This window comes from Homo sapiens, chromosome 12 (assembly GCF_000001405.40).
Source record: "Homo sapiens chromosome 12, GRCh38.p14 Primary Assembly".
NCBI lineage: Eukaryota > Metazoa > Chordata > Mammalia > Primates > Hominidae > Homo > Homo sapiens.
In genome coordinates, this window is record NC_000012.12 from 53,129,878 (window position 1) to 53,141,125 (window position 11,248).

The 11,248-nt window shown below is 42.8% G+C and overlaps 2 pseudogenes; one reads left to right on the forward strand and one right to left on the reverse strand.

Moving 5' to 3' along the window:
- On the forward strand, positions 1,382-2,309 carry VTI1BP3 (vesicle transport through interaction with t-SNAREs 1B pseudogene 3; annotated as a pseudogene).
- Positions 8,669-8,774, reverse strand: RNU6-333P (RNA, U6 small nuclear 333, pseudogene; annotated as a pseudogene).

Sequence of the window (11,248 nt, forward strand, 5' to 3'; positions counted from 1 at the left end):
CTTCCTGTTAACTGAAGAAATTCGCCCTCTTCCCTCTCCTCCTACCATCTCACTCAATGATATCAGCAGCTCTGGCACCATCCCTCCATTCTCCCTTCTACTAGATTGCTCCCAACAGCAGCCAGCTATGCTCCTAGTCTACTCTCCCTATGTCTAACTGTCCCTCTCCTCCCCCACAGCTACATCAGGCTGCTGTCCCACTTCTCAGCTCCCTGTCACAGCCACACTTCTCCAAAGAGTTGCCTGTCCCCACTGTTGAGGTTTTTCACCTCACATTCACTCAAGTGTTGATCATAGGTCTGCAAAGGGGCCTCTCATATTTTAATATGGGTTATTTGCTCCAGTACACAAGCCTTCCTGTTATTTCCCCTCTCATCAGATGGACCCACTTTGACACATGACAAATCTGTATGGATTCTTGAAAATGTAGTGCTTTATTGTACCTTTTAAATTTATATAAAGGGTTTAGTCAGCTTTATTCAAATATAATTCACATATCATACAATTTGTCCACCTAAAGTATGCAAGTCAATAATGTTAGTATAGGCCGGGCGCAGTGGCTCAAGCCTGTAATCCCAGCACTTTGGGAGGCCGAGGTGGGTGGATCACGAGGTCAGGAGATCGAGACCATCCTGGCTAACATGGTGAAACCCTGTCTGTACTAAAAGTACAAAAAAAAAAAATTAGCTGGACGTGGTGGCGGGCACCTGTAGTCCCAGCTACTCGGGAGGCTGAGGCAGGAGAATGGTGTGAACCCGGGAGGAAGAGCTTGCAGTGAGCCGAGATGGCACCACTGCACTCCAGCCTGGGTGACAGAGCGAGACTCCGTCTCAAAATAAATAAATAAATAAAATAATGTTAGTATATTCAGATTTGTGCAACCATCACCACAGTTAGCACATTTCATCACTGGCCCCCAAAATCTCATACCTACTAGTAGTCACTCTCCATGTCCCGAAAACCTCCCAGCCTTGGGCAACCACTGATTTACTTTCTGGATATTTCTTTTCTTTTTCTTTTTTCTGTTTTTTTTTTTGAGACAAGGTCTCATTCTGTCACCCAGACAGTGGTTTCTGGGTACAGTGGTGCCATCATAGCTCACTGCGACATTGAACTCCTCGCACAAGCAATCCTCCTACCTCAGTCTCCTGAGTAGCGGAGACCACAGGTGCACACCACCACACCCAGCTAGATTTTGTACTTAAAAAATTATTTTTGTAGAGATGGGGTTTTGCCATGTTGCCAAGCTGGTCTCAAACTCCTGGGCTCAAGTGATCTGCCCACCTCAGCCTCCCAAAGTGCTGGGATTACAGGCATGAGCCACCATGCATGGCCTATTCTGGATATTTCACATAAATGAAATCAGGCATCAGTGGTGGGGATGGCTACAGGCCAGGGCTGCTGACTGACAAGCTAGGAGAGGGCCCAGTGCCCAGAATCTTGGTGGGCGCTGCTGAAGCACCGCCTACACCATGCCTCTCTCTGCCACCTCCTTGGAGCGTTTTGAGCAGCTGCACGAGATGTGCCTCCAAGGGGTGCACTAGTGGCTGCTGGGTATGGCAGGGACCCAGGAGAAGCTGATCAGAGATTTTGATGAAAAGCAACAGGAAGCAAACAAAATGCTGACACAGATGGAGGAGGAACTACATTATGCACCCGTATCTTTCCATAACCCCATGATGTCTAAGCTTCAAGACTATCAGAAGGACCTTGCCCAATTCCATCTGGAGGCAAGAAGTACACCTTTGCAGCCATGCCTGGGGACCGAGGAGACATGAAATATGGCACATATGCTGTAGAGAATGAGCATATGAATAGGCTACAGTCTCAAAGGGCAATGCTTCTCCAAGGCACCAAAAGCCTGGGCCGGGCCACCCAAGAGACTGACCAGATTGGCTCAGAAATCTCAGAAGAGCTGGGGAACCAACGGGACCAGTGAGAACGTACCAAGAGTACACTGGGAAACGCAAGTGAAAACTTGTTCAAAAGTCGAAAGATTCTCTCTTCTAAGTCCAGAAAAGTGATAACCAACAAGCTTCTGCTTTCCATCATCTCACTGGAGCTAGCCATCCTGGGAGGCTTGGTTTACTTTGTGTTCTTTTGCAAGCATGGGACTTGCAATAGGGAAGGATTGTGGACCAGAACTTTGACCTTGGGAATGCATGGTGTTAGGGATGTGGATGGAATAAGCATGTTGCTCCTGTGGGCTAACAGTTCAAGGATGCACTGCGTAGCCAGACTGTGGGGGAGAAGGGAGGAAAGGTGGAAAGCCACTTAACTGTGAAGTGACAGCAACAAGACCAGTATGATATACCAAGGTAATAATGCTGTTTATGACTTCTTTTTTTGTTGTTGGTTTTTTGTTTTGTTTTGTTTTGTTTTTGTTTTTGTTTTTGAGACAGAGTCTCACTCTGTCGTCCAGGCTGGAGTGCTATGGCGTGATCTCGGCTCACTGCAAACTCCACCTTCTGGGTTCACGCCATTCTCCCGCCTCAGCCTTCAGAGTAACTGGGACTACGGGTGCCCGCCACCACGCCTGGCTAATTTTTTGTATTTTTAGTGGAGACAGGGTTTCACCATGTTAGCCAGGATAGTCTCGATCTCCTGACCTCGTGATCTGCCCGCCTTGGCCTCCCAAAGTGCTGGGATTACAGGCATGAGCCACCGCGCCCGGCCATGACTTCTTTAAAAATACATAAGCCTGGCCAACATAGCAAGAACTCATCTCTACCAAAAATAAAAAAAAATTAGCCAGGTGCGGAGGCCACATCTGTAGTCCCAGCTACTTAGAAGGCTGAGGCAGGAGAACTCCTTGAGACCAGGAGTCTGAGGCTGCAGTGAGCTATGATAGTGCCACTGCACTCCAGCCTGGGTGACAGAGTGAGACCTTGTCTCCAAAAACAAAATTAATTAATTAATTTTTAAGAATATGCCAAGGCTGGGCGTGGTGGCTCACACCTGTAATCCCAGCACTTTGGGAGGCCGAGGTGGGAGGATCACCTGAGGTCAGGAGTTCAAGACCAGCCTGGCCAACATGGTGAAACCCTGTCTCTACTAAAAATACCAAAAATTAGCTGGGCATGGTGGTGTGCACCCATAATCCCAGCTACTCTGGAGGCTGAGGCAGGAGAATCGCTTGAACCCGGGAGGCAGAGGTTGCAGTGAGTTGAGATTGTGCCACTGCGCTCTAGCCTGGGCGATAGAATGAGACTCTCTCAAAAAAAAAAAAAAAAAAAGGCCAGGCACGGTGGCTCACACCTGTAATCCCAACACTTTGGGAGCCTGAGGCGGGCAGATCACCTGAGTTTGAGGGTTCGAGACCAGCCTGACCAACATGGAGAAACCCTGTCTCTACTAAAATTACAAAATTAGCTGGGCATGGTGGCACATGCCTGTAATCCCAGCTACTCGGGAGGCTGAGACAGGAGAATCGCTTGGGCCCAGGAGGCGGAGGTTTCGGTGAGCCAAGATCATGCAATCGCACTCTAGCCTGGGCAACAAGAGTGAAACTCCATCTCAGAAAAAAAAAAAAAAAAAGTGCCGCATGTGGTGCCGCATGCGTGCAATTCCAGCACTTTGGGAGGCCGAGGTGGACAGATTGCTTGAGCTCAGGAGTTCAAGACCAGCCTGGCCAACATGGTGAAAACCCGTCTCTACTAAAAAAAATACAAAATTAGCTGAGCGTGGTGGTGCATGCCTGTGGTCCCAGCTACTCTAGAGGCTGAGCAAGGGAGAATCACCTGGGTTCAGGAGGTCGAGGCTGCAGTGAGTCAACATTGGGCCCTGCACTCCAGCCTGGTGACAGAGTGAGACCCTGTCTCAAAAATAACAATCAACCAATAAATGAAATCATACCCAATGTGGTCCTCTGAGATGGCCTTCTTCTTAACCTGTTTTGAAGATTCAATCATGTTTTAGCATATACCATACTTCATTTCTTTTTCTTTTTTTCAAGACAAGGTCTCCCTCTGTTGCCCAGGTTGGAGTTCAATGGCCTGATCATGGTTCACTGCAACTTTGACCTCCCAGGCTCAAACAATCCTCCCACCTCAGCTTCCTGAGTAGCTGCAACTGGAAGTGGGCCACCACCATGTCTGGCTAACTTTTTTGTATTTTTTTTTAATAGAACAAGGTCTCACTATGTTGCCCAGATTTATCTCGGACTCCCCAGCCAAGCAATTTGCTGCCTCCGCCTTCCAGAGTGTTGGGACTACAGGTGTGAGCCTATAGAAATAAAGACCGCACCCAGTCCTTTATTTCTTTTTTTGACTCACAAGTGCTTGATGTTCTTTCTTATTGTCAAATTATATTCCATTGTATAGATATACCACATTTCATATATCCATTCACCAGTAATGGAATTGAGTTTTTTCCACTATTTTGGCTATTCTGAATAAAGCTGCTATGAATGTTTGTGTGCAACTCTTTGCCTCAATAAATGTGTTTTATTTCTCTTGGCTATATACCTGGAAGTGGAATTACTGGGTCATATGATAATTCTGCATTTAATCGTTTGAGGAACTGCTAGACCATTTTCCAAAGTGGCTGCACCGGTTTATAATCCTGCCAGCAGTGTATGAGGGTTCCAACTTCCCACATACTCACCAACACTTCGTTATTATCTCTTTTTGATTATAGCCGTCTTCATATGAAGTGGTATCTCATTGTGGTTTTGATTTGCATTTCCCTGACAACTAATGATGTTGAGCATCTTGTCATGTGCTTACTGGCCATTTGTACAGCTTCTTTGGAGAAATGTCTATTCAAATCCTTAGCCTATTTTTATTTATTTTATTTATTTGTCTTTATTTTTATTTTATGTATTTGTCCTTATATTATTGAGTTGTAAGAGTTATTTCCATGTTCTTGATATAAGTCCCTTATCAGATATATGATTTATAAATATCCTCTTTAATTCTATAGATTGTCTTTTCACTTTCTTGATGGTATCCTTTGAAGTGTAAAAGTTTTTAATTTTGATGAACTCCAGTTTACCTATTTTTTCTTTGGTTGCTTGCACTTTCGGTGTCATATCTAACCTAACCCAGGCTCACAAAGATTTATTCCTATATTTTCTTCTAAGAGTTTTATGGTTTTAGCTCTTAAGTGTATGAATTAATTCTGGGATATGATGTGAGAAAAAAATGACATTCTTTTGCATGTGAATATCTAGTTGTCCCAGCAACACTTGTTAAAAAGACTATTCTTTCTCCAATGAATTGTCTTGGCATCTTTTAAAAAATTTTATTTTATTTTATTTTATTTATTTATTTATTTAGAGACAGGGTATTGTTATGTCACCCAGGCTGGAGTGCAGTGGTGCTATCACGGCTCACGGCAGCTCAACTTCCTGGGCTCAGGTGATCCTCCCACCTCTGCCTCCCAAGTAGCTAGAACTACAGGTATGTGCCACCATGCCTGGCTAATTTATTTTTTATTTTTTTGTAAAGACAGGGTCTCACCATGTTGCCCAAGCTGGTCTTGAACTCCTGGACTCAAGCTATCCTCCTGTCTGGCCTCCCAAAGTGCTGGGATTCCAGGCATGAGCCACCATGCCTGACTGTCTTGACATTCTTGTTGAAAGTCAATTGACTAAACGTGAGGGCTTATTTCTAGATTCTCAAATTTTTTTCCATTGATATACATGTATATCCTGTAGACTACGTTGTCTTGAAACTACTGTAGTTTTGTAGTACATTTTGAAATCAAGAAGTGTGAGTTCTCCAAGTTTGTTCTTTTTTTTCAAGATTGTTTTGGCTATTATGGGTTTCTTGCATTTCCATATGAATTTTGGATCAGCTTGTCAATTTCTGCAAAGAAGTCAACTGGGGTGGTTATAGAGATTGTGTTCAGTCTATAGATCCACTAACATGAAATGTCTTTCCATTTATTTAGATCCTTAATTTCTTTCTTCAATATGTTGTAGTTTTCAGAGTATACATTCTGGCCAGGCGTGGTGGCTCACACCTGTAATCCCAGCACTTTGGGAGGCTGAGGCAGGTGGATTACAAGGTCAGGAGATCGAGACCATCCTGGCCAAGAAGGTGAAACCCTGTCTCTACTAAAAATACAAAAATTAGCTGGGCGTGGTGGCACATGCCTGTAATCCCAGCTACTTGGGAGGCTAAGGCAGGAGAATAGCTTGAACCAGGGAGCTGGAGGTTGCAGTGAGCCGAGATCATGCCACTGCACTGTAGCCCGGCGACAGAGCGAGACTCTGCCTCAAAACAAAACAAAACAAAACAAAAAAACGGAGTATACCTTCTACATTTGTTTTGTTAAATTGTTTCCTATTTTATTCTTTTTGACGTCCTTGTAAATAAAATTATTTTATTAATTTCATTTTTAGATTGTTCGTTTCTAATGTATAGAAACACAACTGATTTGTATGTTGATCTGCTATTTATTTATTTATTTATTAAAAAATAGAGACAAAGTCTCACTATGCTGCCCAGGCTGGTCTTAAACACCTGGACTCAAGTGATCCACCCACTTCCACCTCCCAAAGTGCTGGGATTACAGATGTAAGCCCCCATGCCCAGCTGTATATGAAATAAATTTCATTTTCTTACCTAATTGCCATGGACAGAACCTGCAGTACAGTGTTGAATAGAAGCACAGAGAGTGGACATTCTTGTCTTGTTCTTGATCTCAGAGGGAAAACATTTAGACTTTCATCATTAGGTGTGACATTAGCAGAGGGTTTTTGTAGCTACCCTTTATCAGGTTGAGAAAAATCCCCTTCTATATCTAGTTTGTTGAGGTTTTTTTTTTCTTTTCTTTTTTTTTTATTTTTGAGATAGAGTCTCACTCTGTCGCTCAGGTTGGAGTGCAGTGGCGCGATCTCAGCTCACTGCAACCTCCACCTCCTGGGTTCAAGTGATTCTCCTGCCTCAGCCTCCCAAGTAGCTGGGATTACAGGTGCCCGTCACCATGCCCAGCTAATTTTTTTTTTTTTTTGTATTTTTAGTAGAGACAGGGTTTCACCATCCCAGCCAAGCTGTGTGTATTGAGGTCATCAACAGACCACATTGAAATGTGGGTTTTGTCCTCTGTTCTATTGATATGGCATAATACATTAATTGATTTTGGATGTCAAACCAACCTTGCATTTCTGATACAAATCCTACTTTGTCATGGTATATAACTCTTTTTTTTTTTTTTGAGACAGACTCTCACTCTGTTGCCAGGCTGGTGTATGGTGGCACGATCTTGGCTCACTGCAATCTCCGCCTCCTGGGTCAAGCTATTCTCCTGCCTCAGCCTCCCTAGTAGCTGGGAGTACAGGTGCATGCCACCATGTCCAGCTAATTTTTGTATTTTTAGTAGAGACAGGGTTTCACCGTGTTAGCCATGATGGTCTCAATCTCTTGACCTCATGATCCGCCTGCCTCGGCCTCCCAAAGTGCTAAGATTACAGGTGTAAGCCACTGTGCCTGGCCAACCCTTTTTATATGTTGCTGAATTTGGTTGGCTAGTTCAGGATTTTTGCATCTAAATTCATAAGACATATTGGTATATAATTTTCTTCTGATGTTTTTGTATTGTTTTGGTATCAGGATTAATACTGCCCTCATAGGATGAGTTTAGAAGTATTCTCTCTTCTGTTATTTGGAAGAATTTGTGAAGAATTGGTGTTAAGTCTTTAATGTTTTGTAAAATTCACCATTAAAGCCTTCACTTTTCTTTGTGAAATGCTTTTAGATTACTTATCCAATTACTCTTTCTCTTTTTATTATAGGTCTATTCAGAATTTATATTTCTTCTTGAATCAATTTCAGTAGTTTGTGATTTTCTAGGTATTTGTCTATTTCATCTAAGGTATCTAATTTGTTGGCATAGTCATTTATAGTATACCCTTATAACCTTCCTTATTTTTGAAAGGTCAGTAGTAATGCTCCCTCTTTCATTCCTGAGTTTAGTTAATTTGAATCTTCTCCATTTTTTGTTTCTGTTCTTGTTTTAGAGAGACAGGATCTCACTCAGTCACCCAGGCTGGAGTGCGGTAGTGTGATTGTAGCTCACTGTAACTTTGAACTCCTGGGCTCAAGCAATCCTCCTGCCTCAGCCTCCCAGGTAGCTAGGACTACAGGTACATGTCATCATAACTGGCTAATTTTTTTTATTTTTCATTTTTTTGGAGCGATGGGGTCTCTCTATATATAGATAGATAGATAGATAGATAGATAGATAGATAGATATAGATATATAAATATATATAAATATATATATATATATTTTTTTTTTTTTTTTTTTTTTTTTTTTTTTTTGAGACAGAGTTTCACTCTGTCATCCAGGCTGGAGAGCAGTGATGCGATCTTGGCTCACTGCAACCTCCACAACCTCCACCTCCCAGGTTCAAGTGATCTTCCCACCTCAGCCTCCAGAATAGCTGGGATTGCAAGCAGGTGTCACCACATCCGACTAAATTTTTTTTTTTTGTATTTTTAGTAGAGACAGTGTTTCACCATGTTGGCCAGGCTGGTCTCAAACTCCTGACCTCAAGTGATCCACCTGCCTTGGCCTCCCAAATATATATATATATGTTATTATACATATATATAAATGTCATGAAATATATATACATATACTTTTTTATAGGTATATATATTTTAAATTTTATAATTTAGATATATTTACATATATTTTCTTAATTTAAAAATTTTTAAAAATATGGAACACTTCAAAAATTTGCACATCATCCTTGTGCAGGGGCCATGCTAATCTTCTCTGTATTGTTCCAATTTTAGTATATGTGCTGCCAAAGAGAGCACACTGAGGCTGGTCTTGAACTCCTGGCCTCAAGTGATCTTCCCACCTTGGCCTCCCAGAGGACTGGGATTACAGATGTGAGCCACCATACCCAGCCTTTCTCTGTTTTTTTCTTAATCAGTCTAGCCTTGTTGATCTTTTCAAAGGACCAACTATTCATTTTGTTGATTTTCTTTAGTGTTTTTCTGTTGCCTGTTTCATTAATTTAAACTCTAATATACGTTATTTCCTTCATTCTTCTTGCTTTAGGTTTAGTTTGCTCTTTTTCCAGTGTCTTAGGGTAGAAGTTTAGTTAATTGATTTGAGATCTCTCTACTTTTCAAATATAGGTGTTTACAGTTGTAGATTTTTTTTTTTTTTTGTATATGCTCCCATGAGGTTGAGAAAGTTGCCTTCTACCCCCCAAGTCAGCCAAACTGCAAGGTCTAAGAACCCAGTCCTCCACAATACTGTCCTTACTTCTGATATTAGCTTCAAGTTTGGGGTTTTCCCAAAACCACCCTCCGGTCGAACAATTCACTGAGGAAGTGACAGAACTCAGGCTAGATGTGGTGGCTCATGCCTGTAATCCCAGCACTTTAGGAGGCCGAGGAGGTTTTAGATTTTTCTTCTTCAGGAGTTCGAGACCAGCCTGGCCAACATGGTGAAATCCCATCTCTACTAAAAATACAAAAATTAGCCAGGTATGGTGGCGCATGCCTGTAGTCCCAGCTACTTGGGAGGCTGAGGCAGGAGAATTGCTTGAACCTGGGAGGTGAAGCAGTGAGCCGAGATCGATCGTGCCATTGCACTCCAGCCTGGGCGACAGAGTGTGACTCCATCTCAAAAAAAAAGAAGTGACAGAACTCAGTGAAAGCTAGCTATTATTCTCAAGGTCACAGTTTATTCCAGAGAAAGGATACTCTAAAATCAGCCATGGGAAGGGGCACATAGAGCAGAGTCTAGGAGGATTCCAAATGCAAAGCTTTCATTGTCATCAGGAGATGTTATCCTCTCAGCATCGATGTGTGAAAGTGCACACAGAGTGTTGCAAATCCAGGAAGCTCGTCCTAACTTCAGTGTCCAGAGTTTTTATTGGAGTTTTCATTATACAGGCATGATGGTGGTTGAACTCAGTCTCCCATCTCCCTCCCCTATCCCTGGAAGTTAGGCCAGTATCATGGTGAGATCCATCAAGGAGCCCATCATGAGTCACCTCATTAGCATAAACTATCAGATGTAATCTTAGGGGCCCACTTGAATAACAAAGAAATAAACTTTTTATTAAGAGACAGGGTCTCAGTCTGTTACTCAGGCTGGAGTGCAGTGGTGTGATCAGAGTTTACTGCAGCCTCAAACTTCTGGGCTCAAGTGATCCTCCCACCTCAGCATCCTGAGTAGCTGGGTGCACACCACAGTGCCCAGCTTGAGAAATATTCTTACCACTTGGGGAATTCCATGGGTTTAGAGGCTACCTCTCAGGAGCCAGGGACAATGGCCAGGCCTTTCCTTGGGCAAGGCCAAATTCTTCACACTTTCTATTCCTAGTCAGCTGAATTTTGCTTTTTTGTTTTGTTTTGTTTTGCTTTGTTTTGTTTTGTTTTGTTTGAGACAGAGTGCTGCTCTGTTGCCCAGACTGGAGTGCAGTAGTGCAATAATAGCTCACTGCAGACTTGACCTCCTGGGCTCAAGCAATCGTCCCATCTTAGCCCCCAGAGTAGCTGGGACTATAGACTTACACCACCACACACTGTTAATTTAAAAAAATTTTTTTGGTAGAGATGAGATCTCACTACATTGCCCAGGCTGGTCTTGAACTCCTTGTCTTAAGTGATCCTTCCACCTCGGCCTCCCAAAGTGCTGGGATTACAGGTGCGAGCCACTGCCTGGCCAGCTGAATGTTTTTACATGTTTAATATTTCTTATCTGAAATGCTTGGGACCAGAAGTGTTTTGGATTTCAGACTTTTTTTGGATTTTGGAATATTTGCATTATACTTTATATGAGCATCCCTAATCAGAAAATCAAAATTCTGAAATGCTACAATAAGCATTTCCTTTGAGTGTCATGTCAGTACTCAAAAAGTTTCAGATTTTCAGACCAGTCAGGGTATGATAAGAAAAAAATACGTTTCAAATGTCAGAGCATTTCAGATTTTGGATTTTGCATTAGGGATGTTCAACCTACATTAGGAATGGATATTGGGGCCGGGCACAGTGGCTCATGCCTGTAATCCCAGCACTTTGGGAGGCCGAGGTGGGTGGATCACCTGACGTCAGGAGTTTGTAGAACAGCCTGGCCAACATGGTGAAACCACATCTCTATAAAAATACAAAAATCAGCCAGGTGTGGTAGCACGCACCTGTAATCCCAACTACTCGGGAGGCTGAAGCAGGAGAATCACTTGAACCCAGGAGGTTGCAGTGAGCCGAGATCATGACACTGCACTCCAGCCTGGGTGACAGAGCAAGACTCCGTCTCAAAAAAAAAAAAAAAA